General features: G+C 41.8%; 1 protein-coding gene across 6 annotated transcripts in view; it reads right to left on the minus strand.

The window, feature by feature from the left end:
• VPS26C (VPS26 endosomal protein sorting factor C) overlaps nucleotides 1–19,720 on the minus strand; it is a 44,689-nt gene that overhangs the window by 14,089 nt on the left and 10,880 nt on the right. For 3 of the 6 annotated variants that reach the window (XR_007067776.1, NM_001331022.1, NM_006052.2), the window contains 2 exon segments: nucleotides 2,988–3,131; nucleotides 952–1,101 (listed from right to left, as the gene is read on the minus strand). Coding sequence is in view for 4 of the 5 variants with exons in the window: in NM_001331022.1 (NP_001317951.1) it covers nucleotides 952–1,101; nucleotides 2,988–3,131 (294 nt within the window). In the remaining variant the exon portion in view is untranslated. 6 annotated transcript variants of the gene reach the window in all.

Genomic DNA, 19,720 nt, shown 5'->3' on the forward strand with positions numbered 1-19,720 from the left:
AATCCAGGTACTACTCAGTCATCACTGCTGCTTCCTTGGGGCTGTCCAAAGCCTTTGGTGCTAACAATAAAGGACTAGAAACACTTCTTTTCTTCACAGAAGATGTACATCATACTACATGTGTTTCCTCTGGACAGATCTCTTAGGCAATTCATAAAACTCCCATACAGATGAATCTTTAAACACTCACAGGGGTTTGGGGGGCTTTTATTTTAAAGGTTCTATTATTTTCAGCAGGATAATGTATCTACTAAGGCCAAATTATTGACCAAAACTTAATAAATCAAAAAAATTCCTGACTTTCATCCCTCTTGCATATAAGACTGAAGAGTTGTGTCTCATCCAGCAAGGGAAGTGCTGCGAGGCTGCTATCACAAAAGTATCTTTCTTTCTGCTGCATAAAGGAAAGGCTATCTCACCCCGCGTGGACTCCACTGCTCCTGAGACAACAACAGCAGACTGTCAAAGACGTCCCTTAACCAGCAGAGGTAGACAGGAAGTCATAATCCACTTCCCCTCATTGACAAGGTTTGTTCAGTAAAGAACACCAGCCTATGTCAAAGTAGTAGCCTTTGGGTGTTAAACAAAGAGATACTTGTAAGTATAAAACAGACAAGTTAATGCTAGTGCCAGAAAGAAGTTAGGGCATATCTGTTACCAGACAATAAAAGCATCCCTTACAATGTGAGGTGGCCTGAAAAGAGCCCAGAAGAAACAGAGGGAAAAGAAGTTACAGCACGAGTGCCTTGAGGCTCCCATCAGAAATAACGGCCATACATCAAATGCATTTATCAGGGAAATGAGAAATTAACGTCGAATATACATGCGAGGTCTCAGCAATAAACACAGTATTAAATTCTTGGGCCCGTCTACTAACGTTGAGAGAAAGACCACACCGTTTGTCAGAAGAAAACTTGTGAAGTCAGTCGCGTAGGACTAGGAAGCTCTCACCTGAATGTTGACAAACACGCCATGATACGTCTCATACAGAACTTTGTTACCCTTCAAGTGCAGAGGAAATTCAAAAGGGATTTCTGTTTTGCCGCTGGGAAATTTCCCCGGCTTCACCATTTCTATGGTGCTGTTGATAATCTGGATAGGCTGTAAACAAAAATCAGTTCAGTCCATCAGCACACACTTGGAAATGTCCTTTCCAATTACTAATAACGTTCTGAAGGACACAGCACCCCGACCCCCTGGAGGCCACCATCCTGCTGTCTTCGGCAGCTCTGCGCTGGGTCTGGAGATGAACAGTGACTTGGCTCTGCTTTTTAAGACTCTGGCACAATAATGATTCATTTACAACATGAGACACATAGGTGCTTGAGACACATGGGAACTGAACTGATACATCCCTCTCTCCTCCCCAGGTATCTCATTTAACTGTTTTAACGACCCCGATCTTCAGGATCAAGAAGCAGACCCAGCACAGTGAGGCTGCCTGGCTAACAGGGTTGACGTGTGAACCCACGGCTCCCCCTCACCGAGCCCCGTGCTCTTCTGGGCAGCGCTGCCTCTGCTCCTGACAGCCCACCAGCTTCCTCGGAGCCTTCCTGCTGCAGCCGCTCAGGGAGAGCAGGCCTTTCCTCCAGCCCTGTGGCCTGCACAGACCTCCTCAGCTGGGCCTCCAAGGAGGAGCAGGAGGGTACTAACATTTGGAACCTGCCTTCAAGGCACGTATTCATGCTTTTTAAGCATTTATAGTTTAACATCAGTGGCTCGGAGAAGACCCATGACTTAGGAAGTGAATCTCTTAAGTACTAATGGATTAAAATAAAGTTGTAGAAAACATAGGAAGCCCCTAAATCTGAACACTGTGAATGCACCTTTCTCTGTCTTCACTCTTTTCCCTGCAAAACTTAAAGCGTTAATATGTCCTTCAGGAAAAGGCAACTACAAGAATAGAGAAAGAGTTTACATTCTGGAACACAAAACTCTACCCTAAATGACAAAAACAACAGTTACTTGCTCTATTTTCATCTTACCTTAGTGTCAAATCAACAGTAGCATAGACACAGCTAATAAAATGACAGTTTTGATTTTGGAAGGCATGTAACATAAGCCACAGGCACAACTTCTCAGAAGAGCTGTGATCTTTTTTTTTTTTTTTTGGAGATGGAGTTTTGCTCTTATTGCCTCAACTAGAGTGCAATGGCGCCATCTCAGCTCACTGCAACCTCTGCCTCCTGGGTTCAAGCGATTCTCCTGCCTCAGCCTCCCAAGTAGCTGGGGCACACGCCATCACACCCCGCTAATTTTTTGTGTTTTTAGTAGAAACGGGGTTTTACCATGTTAGCCAGGCTGGTCTCGAACTCCTGACCTCAGGTGATCTGTCTGCCTCAGCCTCCCAAAGTGCTGGGATTACAGGCGTGAGCCACTGCACCCAGGTGTGATCTTTTTAATGGCTGAAATTAATACATTTATAGTTCTCCTAATCCTATTTATCAAATAGGAATAAATATAAGCAGACTTTCAATAACAGGATATACTTAGAAACAAAGTATCTCCATTTTCGCAGGTTGATTAGTAAATATCAGAAGTGTAACTACCACCATCCCTTGCAAAATAACAACAGATAACAATAAAGGCACACAGCAAGTGAAACCCACCATAAACATGTCTTTTTTTAAGAGACATGGTATCTTGCTCTGTTGCTGAGGCTGGAGTAGAGTGCTGTGATCATAGCTCACTGCAGCCTTGAATTCCTGGGCTCAAGGGATCCTCCTGCCTCAGCCTCCTGAGTAGCTGGGACTACAGGCACGCACCACCACACCCGGCTAATTTTTAAAGTTTATTTATAGAGATGGGGTCTTGCTATGTTGCCCAGGCTACTCTCAAACTCCTGGGCTCAAGCGATCCTCCCGCCTTGGCCTCCCAAATTACTGAGATTACAGGCCTGAGCCACTGCGCCTGGCCCTGAGCCACTGCGCCCAGCCCAACATTTCAATATTGAACTAAAAACTTGCAATCTAAGCATTCTTTCTTACCTTAACAGAATTATAAAAAGCTTCAAACACACCCACACTTTTGGCACTGAGCTGGAGGTTTACAGTTCCTTCCATGGTCAAAGACACTCCCTGGTGTTGGACTGAATCCTTACTCGATATGACCACCACGCCAGAGAGCACTTCCTGGGAGAGAAAAGACAGCCACCAATCAAATTAGCATGCTTCCTCCATTCTACCTTGTTTATTAGCAAACGTAGGTCTCCTTCATCATCAATTTGTTTAAAGATCCAGACATTCACTGAGACACCTGGATACCAGGGTGGAGAAGGCCCAGGTCCTGGTAGGGGACAGATGCCCACTGATAATGACGTGGCAGCCTGGACACACCTGACGGGGAGCACCCGGGTGTGGGGATGAGAAACCTCGTCCCGTCACTGCCTCTCAGACATGTCTTCATTCCTGGTTGGGGAATCTCAACAGATGTCTGAATTCAAGAGTGCAAGGAGAAGGGCCAGGGCAAATGTAAGTTCCCAGTGATATCACACATGGGCATGGATGAGGTCCCTTCAAAAGGAACAGAAGAAAATAAAACTCTGTTCGTTAGGCTCTTTCTCAATAGCGCTGACTAAAATGACAGCACAACTGCAAATGCATGAGTAATTTAACACGATGGTTAGCCTGGTGTCCTTTCTGCCCAGAAATGCCTACTGTGAGCAAGACTGGAGGTTATTGGTGCCACCCACGAGGCAGCAGCATGCCACTTTCCAGAAGGACTGCCCTGTCCCTGTGGTTCCTGCTCACACCAGGAGGCATCGGCGCCTCCATTCCCTTGGTTCACACATCATCGAGAGACTTCACAACAGATCATCTGTGCATTTATCTGAAGATAATTACTGAGTAATAGATTACGGATAGTAACTGCATTCGCTATTGGAGAGCAGTTTCTTCCTGTCACCATAGAACTGGATGGTCTCAATCTGTTACAGGGGCTCGAGTGGAAGAGGAAATTGAGGGGATGAAATAGTATCAAGCGGAACAGAAAGACTGAATCCACAATCCACACAGAACAACACGTCTCAGGCTGGGCGTGGTGGCTCATGCCTGCAGTCCCAGCACTTTCAGAGGCCAAGGTGGACAGGTTGCTTGAGCCTAGGAGTTTGAGACCAGCCTGGGTAACATAGCGAGACTCCATCTCTACAAATAATAAGAAAAAAAATTAGCTGAGTGTGGTGGCACCCACCTGTGGTCCCAGCTACTGGGGAGGCTGAGGTGGGAGAATTGCTTGAGCCTGGGTGGTTGAGGCTGCAGCGAGCTGTGACTACGCTACTGCATTCCAGCCTGGGTGACAGAGCAAAACCCTATCTCAAAAATAAACAGTAAAAATAAAAATTGGCCTGCAGATCAAACCATTAAAAAACATCTGTCCTACTGGTGTTTAAATCTGCTTATCTTTTATTTCTTCTAGTTATCCAGTGAAAAATTTTTACCAAGTTCTTACTTTAACTTGAATTTTGGAAGCAAGAAATATTCTATGTCCCTTAAATGTGCTAAGTATTTTGTTTTTGTTTCCACTCCCCATCCCAAAGCCTTGAAGTCTAATTAAAACAAACACGATCATCTCCATTTTAAGCAATCTTAAGAATAAAATGAGTTCTCCTTGAATTCTGCTTAAAATGGAGATGACTGTGTTTGTTTCAATGTTAATGTTTAATGTTTAATTTAATGTTCCTAAAAAATTCCTAAGCAGACTTAAATAAAAATTCCTGTGAAGTAACTTAAATTCTAAGTTTAATTAACATTAATTCTATTAATTTTTTGTATAGCCCAAATTCAAATGGAAATTTAATATTAAAAATTCAGGCCAGGTAACATGGCTCATGCCTGTAATCCAGCACTTTGGGAGGCTAAGGCAGGAGGATCACTTGAGCCCAGGAGTTCGAGACCAGCCTGTGCTGCATAGTGGGACTCCTTCTCTACAAATAAAAAAATTTTAAAAATTAGCCAGGCGTGGTGGTGTGCTCAGGAAGCTGAGGGCAGGAGGATCACTTGAGCCTGGGAGGTGAAGGCTACAGTGAGCCATGAATGAGCCACTGCACTCCAGCCTGAGTAATAGAGTGAGACCCTGTCTCAAAAAAAGAAAAAAAAATTTAAATCCACTAGTATATTTTTTAAAGTTTACTTGACGAATATGTCCCACAAATAAATGAGACAAAATAATTTGTGAGCTTTATCAATTGAACCACACAGTAGCGCCTGAGGATGGTCCCGTTCCTATGCAGTCATAACCCTTTCCGTCAGTCTCACGGGAACAGGTCTCTGGGTCTCCCTGATGGGCATATTCTAACTATGACATCAGTAAAGCCTTTTCCCTCCTTAATCCCTGCAGCGTAGGAGGAAAAAAGTAGTGACATACCTCGGAAGTAAGCAGAGTAAATATTTTATGACTCGAGACACAATATAGTACAGAAAATACAAAATTAACATTTGTGGATAAATTAGATATTCTTATAATATACAGGTTTATTCAACTCCTACCAATGAAAGAAGGATAGGGAATTAGCCCACCTGAGGCCGAGGGCCAAGGGATTTAGAAACAGGAGACGGTTTAACAGAGAGGCAAGATCTGTCTACACAATGCTTGATTGATCCTGGCAGAGGAAGATAGGATACACTGGTAGAACAGACATTAAGGAAAACCCAAGATCTCACCAAGAACTTCTCCCTCAGATTTTCGTCTAGACTTTCATCAGGAAGACATAAGATTTATGGCTCCAGATAGTACTAATACCTCGTCCAACATCACAAGCAGAGGCCTTCAACTGGGGGCCGTGACTACAAAGAGGGACCGTTCACAGACTGGCAACGAACCCAGAACGTATACACCGAAATCGTGTGCAGGGTGCTACTGTTTTGGGAGAAGAGCCGTAGCTTCTGTCTCATCATGGAGGAGGCGCCTGGCCTGGGAAAGGCCATATTGTCAAGTGGGAGGAGGAAGAGGCGCAGCCCCGTGTGGTGTGCGTGCTCATCAGAGAAGCCAGCACAGACACTGGGACCCACTCGCGTCACCAAGAGCCAACCCCTCTTCAGGGTGAGTAAAGGAAAGAGCTTTCATTGGAGGAATGTGAATACTTTTCAGTTATCCAGCCCAGAGACACTGAAAGGAGACGGCAGTCCCGTCCTCCCCTTCTCTGGGTTGTGCTCATCTCTCGAAACTACCTGCTTTTGCCACCAGCAGCTAAGCTATAAATTCCCTCAATCACACCCCATCCGAGACTACAGCCCGCACCCTAGAGCTTAACAATGGAGAGCCAATCGCCCATCAATGCCATTTCTGTAAGCCTATGAGAATTCCTGGCAAACAACTTTGTATCACCCCACTCCGTGTCCCCCTTTCTTTGCCTTAACAACCTACTTGTAACACAGGGGAACGGAGTTCATATCCAGGGTCACTGGGTCTGTATCTTCTGGGCAGCTGTCCTCTCTTTGGCTCGAGTCAGCTCTTTATTATACTTTGTGCCTCAGCTGCTTTGCTTTAGATGGACAGAGGCCATGCACCCAAGAACCACACCACTCAGAGCCTGCTTCGAGGGGCTCCTCCAAGTCCCTGCCCTGGAGGAGCTAAGTCTGGAGAGAGGCCTGAAGCTGCCCATCTTCAACCTCAGCCCAAAGAGCCGCCTGGAAACAAGCATTCCAAAGGCTACTGGCCACCTTGCTCTTCTCAGCTTTGCTGGCTCTCACAGCGGAAACCACTGGCAAGTTTGTTCAAAGGGGGGCAAAAGCAACCACATTTTCTAACTTTGTATTCTCTTTTTTTTCCTCATTCACTCTGTCACCCAGGCTGGAGTGCAGCGGCACGCTGCAACCTCCGCCTCCTGGGTTCAAGCAATTCTCCTGCCTCAGCCTCCCAAGTAGCTGGGACTACAGGCATGCACCACCACACCCAGCTAATTTTTTGTATTGTTAGTAGGGTTTCACCAATGTTGGTCAGGCTGGTCTCGAACTCCTGACCTCAAGTGATCCACCCATCTCAGCCTCCCAAAGTGCTGGGATTACAGGTGTGAGCACCCAGCCTAACTTTGTATTCTCTAAATGTAAAAGGCCACTACCAAACTATACAACTCTTTTTCTTATTTGTTCTCTGTAATAAAATGCCAAAACCATAATTGGAACTCTGGATTTGAAAATAGTGGCATCAAGTCCGCGACCCCTCTTGGCTTCCTGGAAATCACCCAAAGAATGAGAACCAAAACCACAAACTGCATTTTCGGCGAGGCAAGGAGATAGCTAAATACCATGAAATAGGTGGAAGAGCTGTTAAAAGAAGTGAAGACTGAGCAGGGGGACGTGATGAAAAACGGAAAGAAGGCCCCCAGCTCTGCAAACGTGCTTCTTCTGGAAAGTGAGGGTACACCTGGGAACAGCTGAGGCCACACCCAGAGAGGCATCCTGTCAACCCGCCCCATGCTGGAAGCAGTCGGTCTCTGCAGTGGTGGAGACAATGAGCCCCTCTGCAAGGTGCAAACGCCCTGCAGCTGGTTACTGCATGGGCTCATGCAAAGTCAAGATGAAAGAAACTCTCACGTAAATCCTCCGGCTATTAGAACACTCCAGCCAGCCTGGTCTAGGAATAAATTCATCTCCTGCAAGGAGAGGTTAAAAGGAACCAGCAGAGGAGCACATGACATCTAATGGATTAAAAAATGAGAGTGGGAAGGGAAAGGAAGGAGGGGAAGTGAGGAAGGAGAGAAATACGAGTGGCAGATGAATGCGAAAGCCAGGTCAGGTCACTGTTCCACTTAGATTTTTCAGCAGCTCACCATCTCAAGCACACAGTAAGAGCCACAGCAGCCTACAAAGGGGGACCCGCCCTCTCCTTACCTGACGGCCCTCATATGGGGCCCTCTGCTCCCTCGCTCCTGCCCTGGCCCCCTTGCCATTCCTTTCAGAGGCCTGCACATTCCAGCCTTAGGCAACTGCCCACGTTCCTTGCTCCACCTGCTTGTTCTTCTCAGATACCTGCAGGACTCGGTTCCGTGAGCCCACATTTGAAACTGTACTACTCCCTCCCTAGCACTCATTATCCCCCCTCCCTGACTGACTGCGCTCTGTGACACTTACACCTTCCAAAATAAGACAAAAGTGCCTCCCTATTTTATTTATTGTCTGTCTCCTGCCCCTGAACATAAACTCCACCAGGGCAGAGTGATTGGCAACAGTAGGCATTCAATGAACATTTACTAAATGAATAAACGATCATTCACCAGAAGAAAAATCCATACCATCAAGCAGATGAAAATGGTGAATGTGCATTTCACCATGAATTTGTAAAGTCCGATGAGACAATTGCTTCTATAAAGGATGAACACAAAACAGAGCTATAAGAGCTCAGGGAGGAAATGGTGAGGCAAAAGGAAGAGATAAAAATATAGGAAAGCTCAGAAAAGAAGTAAAAGGAAAAAATCAAACCACCACAGAAAATAAATTTAAAAGGGTCTAAGGATATATGCAGGGCAGAAATGACAAAATCCAAATAAATTAAATGAAAATTTAAGAAAGAATTCAAAAAGAACCACAAAGAGATAAAATTGGAGACAGGTAACAAACACACAGCTATGCCTAATTAAGTTCCAAATAAGAAAACTGAAATAATGAAGCAGAACAAATATTTACTGTGATAATTCAAAAACAGTCAAGGGCAAAGGAATTAGGAGCACTCAATGAAAATACTCTGTAGCAAAAGTGTTCTCATTCAAAAAAGAAAATATCCTTTTGGAGTCAGGAAAAAAGATCGAGTCACTCATAAGAGGAAAAGAAACCATATTTCTCCATAGCAAAATGGAATTCAAAATGCAAGCAGAATGATACAACAATGCTCAAGGCAGTGAAGTGTGACCCTAGAATTTATACTCACCTAATCTGTCATTCCAGTGTAACTGAAAGTTTTAAATGTGCAAAAATAAAAAAACCCAACCAAACTAAAAAAAAAAACATATCCCAAGCAATACTATATAAAAGTCCTTCTTGAGGAATGTACTAAATAGTAAACTATAGCTATCCAAGAGATGGCTAGAAAAACTATGTCAAAAGAACCAACTGTGAGGATTAACTCCATTTAATTGTAAGAAGAAGACTGAGATAAGTGATGATTATAATGAAAGAAGAGAATGCAAAATATAAGTCCTGACAATGTAGAATGTAATCGACACTAGCTGGGAGACTAAGAGAACTAGAATCTAGGAAGTAGTATAATGTACATGGCTTTCCCATCTTTGATGGCTGGGATTTAAAAATGTATTATTCAAACCATACTTCCATACTTTTAAGACAGGGTCTTATTGTCACCCAGGCTGGAGTACAGTAGTGTGATCATAGCTCACTGCAACCTCCACCTCCCAGGCTCCAGTGATCCTCCTGCCTCAGCCTCCTGAGTGGCTGGGACTATAGGCACACACCACCACACCCAGCTAATTTTTGTATTTTTTGTAGAGATGGGGTTTTGCTGTGTTGCCCAGGCTAGTCTTGAACTCCAGGGCTCAAGCAATCCTGCCTTGGCCTCCCAAAGTGCTGGGATTACAGGTGTGAGCCACTGCACCTGGTCTACACTTTTCAGTATGGTAGCTGTAAGCCATATGTGACTATTGAAACTTAAACTTATATTAATAGTTAAAATTCAGGACCTTCCATTTCAAGTGTTTAATAGCCACACTATGGCCAGTGGCTATCATAAGAGACAGAGCAGATAAGAAGTACATTCACATCATCACAGAGAGCTCTACTGGACAGTGCTGATTTAAAGTTAATAAGTCAAATAATGTCGTACAAATAAACTTAACAGAAGTAAACAACGACGAATACTATAAGTAACTAAGATCAGGTAGTAGCGGGAAGAAAGGGAAAAGGAAAGAGGAAATATGCTAATTTACCATTGTTCACAGTAGGAAATTAATAAATAATGTCTAAAATGTGAAGATTCAGGTACAATAAAAAGTTGCAAGGGTAACAGTTAAAACAAAAATAAAACTCCAGATGACTAGAAAATCATACAAACAACTAAAGCAAACAAGACAGACTGTAAAAAGATGTTTCAAAAGCTACTTAAAAACACATTCCCCCCAACCAAGCAGGAATGACAGAATTAATGCCAAACGTATGTCATATTAACAAATGAGCCAAATTAATGCCTATTCAAAAACAGACATGAATATTCCATTACAAGGCAAAACCCAATTTTATGTTGTATGACAGAGAAGCACCTAAAATGGCAGGGGTGGATTTGGAGAGGATAAAAAAGAAAGGATAAACAAAGGCAAAGAAAGAAGGCATGGATTGTCACCTTAATATCAGACAATGCTGAATTCCGAGAATGAAGGATTAAACAAGACAAAGGGGACTTTACAATTCTAAAGGAGCAACTCACAATAAAGACTTGTGAGGCCAGGTGTGGTGGCTCATGCCTGCAATTCTAGCACTTTGGGAGGCCGAGGCAGGAGGATTGTTTGAGCCCAGGAGTTTGAGACCAGCCTAGGCAGCATAGCGAGACCCTGTCTCTAAAAAAAGAAAAAGACGTGGTATTATTATCTGCAGATCAAACAGTGTCCACACTTGTAAAGCAAAAACTACAGGGAATAGATTTAAGGAGAAACTGAGTAAAACAAATTCGTTGTGGGAGACATTAATTTACAGATCATGACCAATAGAGTAGACAGAAAGAAACAAGGATACAGAAGACCTACGTCACATATCAACAGGGTATAATGAACTGGCATACATAGATCTCTATACCCTGAAAACAGAGAATATGCTCTTTTCAGTGTCCATGATATACTTTTAAAAACTGGCCAAACTGATCCCTTAATAAGTCCAATAGGTCTTTCTTCTGGGGGTGGGGGGAGGGGGGGAACAAAGCAAATTATTAAATAATCTAATCAAAAAAGAAAAACACAAATATCCAAAATAAGAAATAAGAGCAGAAATACTAGAAAAATGGAGGTAATTAAAAGATAATATTCAACACTATTCAACTGTATATAAGTAAATTTGAAAAGCTGACTAAGTGAATTATTTTTCTGGGAAAATATAATTTATCCAAAATCACTCCAAGGGAGACATGAAATCCAAGCAAATCAATCATCATAGAAAAAATAAAGTTCTAAATAAGGCCCCCAAACCCGACAGCTTCACAGGAGATCATTCCCTGAATTTTTCTGTGTGAAGAACAGAAAATTCCACTATAAAACTATTAGAAAGCAACGAACTTAAAAAAAAAAAAAAAGCCAACATAACAATGACAGCAAAATAAGACAAAAGTCTACACACTCAGAGAGAGAGACAGGAGAGAGAAGAGAGAAAACTAGATTATTCTCATTTGTAAATACCAGTGCAAAGGTCCTAAATAAAATATTAGCAAATGCAATCCAGTAGCAACTTAAAACAACACTATACATAACCAAGTAGAATTCAGTCAAGGAATATAAGCATAGTTTAATAATGAGAAAACTGGTAATACAACTCATATTAATAGCTATTAAGAGAAAAATTATATATAGTCATCTCCATAGATGCTGAAAAGGCATTTGAAAAAATTTATGCATTCTTGATAAAATTCTTAGTAAAATAATAGAAGGATGACCAAATATATCTACCTTACCCCAAAGCCAGCATCAAACTTAATGAGAAAACAAGATATCATCCATTTAAGTCAGGAATAAAAGAAGGATGTCCACTATCACCACAATTAACGTTCTGCAAGTACTAGTTAATACAATAAAACTAGAGAGAGAAAGAGGTAATTCAAAGGCAGGAGGTAAAATGATCACTACTTGCACAATGAGTGTATACCTGAAGAAACCCAAGGGAATCCACTGAAAAACTACTATCAACATGAAGAGAGTTTCAGAAAAGATGACAGCTGGGTACAAAATTAACACAGAGAACCCAATAGGTATCACATATAAACCAACAACTAGTGAGAAGATACAATGGAAGAAATGGCCTTATTTTCAAAAGGAACAAAAAGTTAAAATATTATAAGTCAATTTCACAGGAAATGTCTAAAACTCCCAGATGACAAAACTTAAAACATGCCTGAAAGCCACAAAAGAAAATTTGAAGAAATGGCCAACCATGCCAGATTTTGAATGGGAAAGATTTAATGCCCTTAACAAATCTACTTTCCCAGAAGTTGGTTTATAAAGGCAACCTAATCTTAAAAGAAAATAACACCACAATTGTTTTTCTTTTTTGAGGGGGAGATGGCGGGAGTGGGAGGGATACACTAGACAAGCTGATTCTGAAGTTTATATGCAATGATAAATCTGAAAAGAAGGAAATTGGAGAAACTAGCCCTGTGAGATATTACAACGCTGCTATAATTTACAAAGTGTCATACAGCACACATGTTCAGGCTGAAAGATCAACAGAACAAAAGTCTAGAAATAGACCCAGACAGTATGGGAAGCTAATGTTTGATAAAGGTAGCATTTAAAATCCTTAGGGAAGAGAGGGAATATTCAATAAGTGATACTGGGAAACTGGCCAGAGAACTCAACCAAAAAAAATTAAGTTGGGCCGGGCAGGGTGGCTCACGCCTGTAATCCCAGCACTTTGGGAGGCTGAGGCAGGCGGATCACCTGAGATCAGGAGTTCAAGACCAACTTGGCCAACATGGTGAAACACCTTCTCTACTAAAAATACAAAAAATTAGCCAGGCATGATGATACATGCCTATAGTCCCAGCTACTTGGGAGGCTGAGGCAGGAGAATCACTTGAACTCAAGAGGTGGAGGTTGCAGTGAGCTGAGATCACGCCACTGCACTCCTGCCTGGGTGATAGAGTAAGACTCTCTCTTAAAAAAAAAAAAAAATCAAGTTGGACCATACTGAAACTTTTTGTGTATGACAAATGTAGCAAATACTTAAATGTAAAAACTGAAATAATAAAAGTTTTGGACAAAACCATAGAGAATAATTTTTTTCACATCTAAGTGGGAAAGGCCTTTCTATGAATGCCTCAAAACTCTGAATAAATATGGCCACAAATATGACTATGAACAATACCACTATATAAATGATAAACTAGGTAAAATACCTACAACTTAATATAACAAATTAGCAAAGGGCTGATTTCCCTAATATTTTAAGAATGCCTAAAAGAAATCAATGAAAGGCTGGGCGCGGTGCTCACGCCTGTAATCCCAGCACTTTGGGAGGCCGAGGTGGGTGGATCAGGAGGTGAGGAGTTCAAGACCAGCCTGGCCAAGATGTTGAAACCCCATCTCTACCAAAAATATAAAAATTAGTCGGGTGTGGTGGTGCACGCCTGTAATCCCAGCTACTCGGGAGGCTGAGGCAGAAGAATTACTTGAACCCGGGAGGCGGAGACTGCAGTGAGCCGAGATCACACCACTGCACTCCAGCCTGGGCAACAGAGTGAGACTCCATTTCAAAAAAAAAAAAAAAAAGACATCGATGAAAAAGATAACTCAGAAGAAAAATGAAAAAAAAAAGGGCAAATGATCTGAACAAAGAGCTCACAGAAAAGGGAATGCAGATTGTTCCTAAACACAGAAAAATATGCTCAATTTCAACAAAAATATGATAAATAGCAATTAAAACAAAGATAAAAAAATGTCATTACATTGTGTTGCCAGAGGGGAGGCAATAAGCCTTCTCTGCATTGCTGGGGATAACCTGAAATGTTGCAACCTCGTGCCGGCTATTTGGCAAGACCAAAAACATTTTACAAACACATGGGCCCAGCAGATACATTTGCAGATGTGAGATGACTTATGAACATAGTTATTCACTGCAACACTGTTTGTAAATAACAAAAGATGGTCGACAAACTAAATTCCAACAATAGGAAAATTGTGAGTTTTCTTTCAACAATGTGGAGATCATTTACACTAGTACATATGGGGATGCAGGGCTAGTTTCCTTCATTTATCTTAAGAACTGACTCCTTATTGCATATGAATCAGCATGTCCAGTCTACGCCCCCTCACTCCCATACATTCTACTTTTTTTTAAAATTTAAGCTGTATATTGCACCATTTGTGAAAAAGAGGAAGAAAAAGCACATTTGTACATATTTACTTGTAGATGCATACAGTATCTTTGGAAGGAATCACAAGAAATTGATAGCTGTGGTTGCCCCACAGGAGAAGCCCTTGATGAATAGGGTGGGTGAGGCAGGGGGTATCGATCTTGAAATTCATGAATGTTGAACCCTGTGAATTGATTACCTATTATAATGAATCCATTTTTAAATAAAACAAAATCCCAGAGTGGGTAGCCTTTAGACCTCAATGTACAAAGTTCTAAGCCTCTTAAATTTTGATAACCTATAGGCCTAATAGTCTCTCCTCAGGAAAAGATCTGAAGATTGTGTGTTAAAAAGTCACATTTCTTTGGGTTAGTTCTTATTTTGGACTTGAACACAACTGCTAGAAAAGTAAAAGCCTCTCAACGCCTCAGCCATTCTCTCTGCAATGCTTTTCCTTTCCAATGGTCCTGGCAGTGGGATGCACCATGACAGCCCATCTTCGTTCCCCACAGTCGTGTGCATATATCTGAACAAGGCCTTCCCTCCTAAACCACCTGAGATTCTGCCATCCCATTTGGTCTAAAGATCCGGTACACCTATAGTGAGATGCCTTTTTATTTACCAATGAGGACCAAATGCACTAAGTAGTGAACTAACATGAAAACAAAACACCAAGGTAAGTTACTGAGCTGGGTGGGAAAACATGAGTGAGACAATTAATTGCTTGTTGAAACACTCTACCCTTTCTTAGTAGCACTGAGAGACCCATTTTGATTAGAAAGCGGAAATCAGAAACATTAAAGAGATTTCAATGTGTTAGGTATCCCCATCTCCACTATTTTATGTAACTGTTTCCATCTTGTCTGAAAAAACAGGATAAACAATCCTCAGATAGTTCTCCACATGGTAAGTAATGGCCAGTATTATGTGAAATTTACTGAAGTTCCAGGAAAGAGAATTTTGCATGGAATACACTATCTCCAAACTATCATTTAAACTGAGATACTCCAATGCAGTTCATTTCCTGGTACAGAAACAAACAAACAAACAAACAAACTAAGACAATGCCACTCAGCAACCCCATTCCTAGATTTTAAAACCCAAGTGAAATGAAAGCTATGTTCACACAAAAATCATGCCCAAGTGCTTCTGGGAGCTTTATTCATCATCACCCAAACGTCTTCTACAGGTGAATAGATGAACAAACTGTGATACATCTATGCAAGGGTGGACAACTCGGCCATCAAAACGAATGAACTATTAACACACAACCTGGATGAATCCGAACGAAATGCATTACGCTAATGATAAAGCCAGATTCAAAGGCTACAAAGCACATAATCATATTTATGCCAGTTACGTGACATTCTGGAAAAAGCAAACTATAGGGACTGAAAACAGGGGCTACAAAGGAGCACAGGGGAATTTGGGGGGTGTCAGATCTGTTCCATATCTTGAATTGTGGGTGGCTACAGTCTCAAGGAACTTTATACTGAAAAGAGTCATCTACTGTTTGTAATTATACCTGTTTTTAAAAAACACAGAAATTATCACGTATAGGAGGAAATAGTTATATTACTTTCTGGACAATTGAGTCATATTCTAAAATTGATTAATGTTTAAGTAAAATCTACAAAAGTTAGTTCACTAGCAATGAAACTGTAACAAAATAACAAGATATCAATTTACATGGCTTACATACATGTGCTGCCAATATAGAGAAATAATACCATCATTTGACAACTTTTTTGGCATGCTTGCTGTATCAGACACTGTTTTAGGCACTTGGACATGGCAGGGAACACAACAGGTGAAGCCCATGCTCTGGGGGCTTATGTTTTAGTATCACATTCTGGGGCAGAACCAACATGGTAAAACATAGCTGGTTCCTTCTACGTATGGTATAGTATACACACAGGCGTCAATACTAAGTAAAATGGGCTGACAAAAAGCATACTGTCCAATAGTGTGATGTGAAACTTCAAAATCTGAAACTTTCTTGAGAGCCTGGAAAAGAAACTGAAGCCACTGAACAAAAGTTTAAAAGAAAGGGAAAAATACTATTCATAAAAAGTAAACATTAATAAAAGTAAGTATATGCAGGATCTTTAGCAGCAGAGTATTAAATTCTAATCATGGTGTGTTGCGTGGCTTCAGGAGTTAGATAGCACATATTAACAAAATTATGTTAATAGAGACTACCTGATTTCAGATTTCAATAGGATGGAGCATCCCTAGTCTGAAAATCTGAAATCTGAAACGTTCCAAAGTCCAAAGCTTTCTGGGCACTGACATGACATTCAAAGAAGACCCTCACTGGAGCATTTCGGATTCTGGATTTTTGGATTAGGGATGCTCAACCATTAAATATCTACAAATACTCCAAATCTGAAAAAATTCCAAAATCCAAAACACCTCTAGTCCCAAGCATTTCGGATAAGGACTATTCAAGAAATAACATTCCAACTTGTAGGTTTACAAAGTTGACATTCGTTTGGAACTACTGGCATAAGTGCATGTAAAGACTCCAGACTATAAACCAAACATTTAGGAGGGCTCCAATTACAAAGGAGCCTGGAATTGGCATAATTACAGGCCAAAGTAATGACCGTGGAACACAGGGAGTCCGCCAAAGAAAATGCTCTGTAGAGCCAGCCCACACTTATATATGAACAACCAAAGAGCCAGCAGATTGAAATCCCAGAGTGAAATCATGTATGAATCACGATAGTGCAGCATTCAAATCCAAGCCAGGATGCAGGCAAACTTCAGAGTAGAGGACAAGAGATGAGTCTAGCAGCAAATGAGGCTAACAGCCTAAAGGGCCCTTGTTAGAAAGCAAGAGCACGGTTAGGTGGGGTGGCTCGCACTGTAATCCCAACCCACTTTGGGAGGCTAGGATGGGAGGATCACCTGAAACCAGGAGTTTAAGGCTGCAGTGAGCTATGATTGTGCCACTGTGCTCCAGCCTGCGTAACAGTGCAAGACCCCATCTCTAAAACAAGTAAGTAAAGAAAGAAAGAGCTCAGGCTGGGTGCGGTGGCTCACGCCTGTAATCCCAGCACTTTGGGAGGCTGGGGCAGGGGAATCACCTAAGGTCACAAGTTCAAGACCAGCCTGGCCAGCATGATGAAACCCCATCTCTACTAAAAATACAAAAAATAGCCAGGCATGGTGGCGGGCACCTGTAATCCCAGCTACTTGGGAGGCTGCGGCAGGAGAATTGCTTGAACCAGGAGGCAGAGGCTGCAGTGAGCTGAGACATTGCATTCTGCCTGGGTGACAAGAGCAAAACTCTGTCTAGAAAAAAAAAATAAATAAAAGAAAAGAAAAAAAGAGCTCAGCAAAAAGAGCACTGTAGGGTAGATCACGTGTTAATTAAGCAGTACGGAACAGGGTCTCTGCTTCAGGTTAATCCAGGGTAGGCTCTGGGGACAGATCACCTAAGGCTGCTCTATGAAACTACTGTGAGATGCAGAGAATGTCATGTGGTTAATTCTGGGCACTGTTCATGGGGCAGCAGAGGAGAAGGGGCAGAAGACATTCTTTTGTATTAGTTGCATTTTCTTAGCAAGTAAAAATATATATTTTCAATTTACAAAATGGTTTTTTAAAATCTGAAACACACGGTCAAACTATCATGACTGTATTTTTTTTAGATTAGAAAAAGCTTAGTTTTTTTCCTGATGATTACTGAAGAATGGGATTTCTGCCCATCGGTTCCTAATTTTCCATTGACAGGACTGCTTGCTGCTCCTTTCCCAAAGGTGAAGATTTGGGTTTTAGAGAAATTGTCTTAAATAATTCTTTCTGATAAAACAAAGGAAGAGCTAATTTTGGGCTGAAATCATGCCTGGCATGTGACAGTAAAACCATAAACGTAAATAAGACACTGTCATGGGGGAACGGTAGTGAGGATGAAGGGACCGCGACCATCACTGGAAAGCATGTGAGCCAATGCTACTGGCCACCAGAGACCTGCCCAACGGATCAGAGCACACACAGCAGGTGTAACCCTCACAGCTACCCAGAGGTCAATTCTGTCTGAGCATCAGTAATCCAGGGTCAGGACAGCTTGTTCCTATCAGAAGCAAAAGGGCCACAATCTCATGTTGTCCTTCCCAGCTCAAGTTCCCAGGACAAGTAAGTAGGACAACAGTGAAGGTCTCCAGAGCCCACCAGCTTTTGCTGAGACTGCTAGTCCAAGAGCCCCAGCTGAGTAAATTCTCCAGGAGGAAAATGGCAGAAACTATCAAAGGATAGTCAGTAAACTGGTGGGTCTGTACCTTTTTGGCTTAAATGCTCCAGTAAATAAAGGCAAAATATTTAAAGCCTCATTCTATGCACTGCATTTTTTTTTTTTTTTTTTTTTAGATAGAGGCTGGAGTGCAGTGGTGCAATCTCAGCTCACTATAACCTCCGCCTCCCAGGTTCAAGTGATTCTCCTGCCTCAGCCTCCTGAGTAGCTGGGATTACAGGTGCCCGCCACCACACTAGGCTAATTTTTGTATTTTTAGTAGAGACAGGGTTTCTTCATGTTGTTCAGGATGGTCTTGAACTCCTGACCTCAGGTGATCTGCCTGCCTCGGCCTCCCAAAGTGCTGGGATTACAGGCATGAGCCACCGTGCCCGGCCCTAGGCACTGTATTATATCTGAAAGCTAACAGAACTTGTAAGTTTTGACACAGGACCAAATTAAATGGGTTGGCATGAAAAAACTTCAACTTTGTTGCCTCTTGCTAGTCACAACATCCTATAACTAATACTTTACAAGAGAACCACTGGCCGTAGGCCTGTGAAGACACCTCAGCAGCCACTTTGGGATGTGAGGAAGAGTCAGGGAAGGGAGGGAGGAAATAGATATTCTCACTTAAAGTAGAACAGCTCTGCTTTTATCTGTTTATAAAATAAAGTATTTTAATATGTATTATTAAAATTGACATTAGAATTTTATATAAGACTTCATTTAATAAAAGGGTTTCATTGCTTTTTTGGAAAATCTTTATGCTAAACGATGTTCATTTTATTGACTTATTTATAAGGAAACAACCATTTGTAACTTACCAGATGAAAGGTAAAATCTATTTTCTATCACCTTGGAAAGGCACTATTTCTCTGAGCCTGGATTTGTTTTCTGCCAACAAGTGACGGCACAAGCTCTCTATTACAGAGAGTAAAAAGCCCAGGCAGTCTTTTTCATGGCTGCTCACCATGTAAACATGTCCATAAAGTGTTCTGTGTAGCTAAGTTAGAGGACAAGAAGAAGTACTTTACAAAAATTACATCTTTACATATTTGCGTTTGTATGACATACTTTTTTCTTTTATTCCTGATAATAAAGTTTTACCATTTTATAATTTAAAAATGTAAATATGGAGTTGGGCATGGTGGTTGGGAGGCTGAGACCAGAAGATCGCTTGAGCCCAGGGGTTTGAGACCAGCCTGGGCAACATGCAGAAACCCTGTCTCTACAAATAAAAAATTAGCCAAGCGTGGTAGCACGCACCTGTAATCCCAGCTACTCGGGAGGCTGAGGCAGGAGAATCGCTTGAGCCTGGGAGGTGGAGGCTGCAGTGAGCTGAGACTGTACCACTGCACTCCAGCCTGGGTGACAGAGTGAGGCTCTGTCTCAAAAAAACAAAACACAAAAAAACAAACAAAAAAAAGCAAATATATGTAAAAATAGGAAGTGCGGTTTCCCAAAATGAGGTCTGTAAACAACTGATCT

This window comes from Homo sapiens, chromosome 21 (assembly GCF_000001405.40).
Source record: "Homo sapiens chromosome 21, GRCh38.p14 Primary Assembly".
In the NCBI taxonomy this organism is placed as follows: domain Eukaryota; kingdom Metazoa; phylum Chordata; class Mammalia; order Primates; family Hominidae; genus Homo; species Homo sapiens.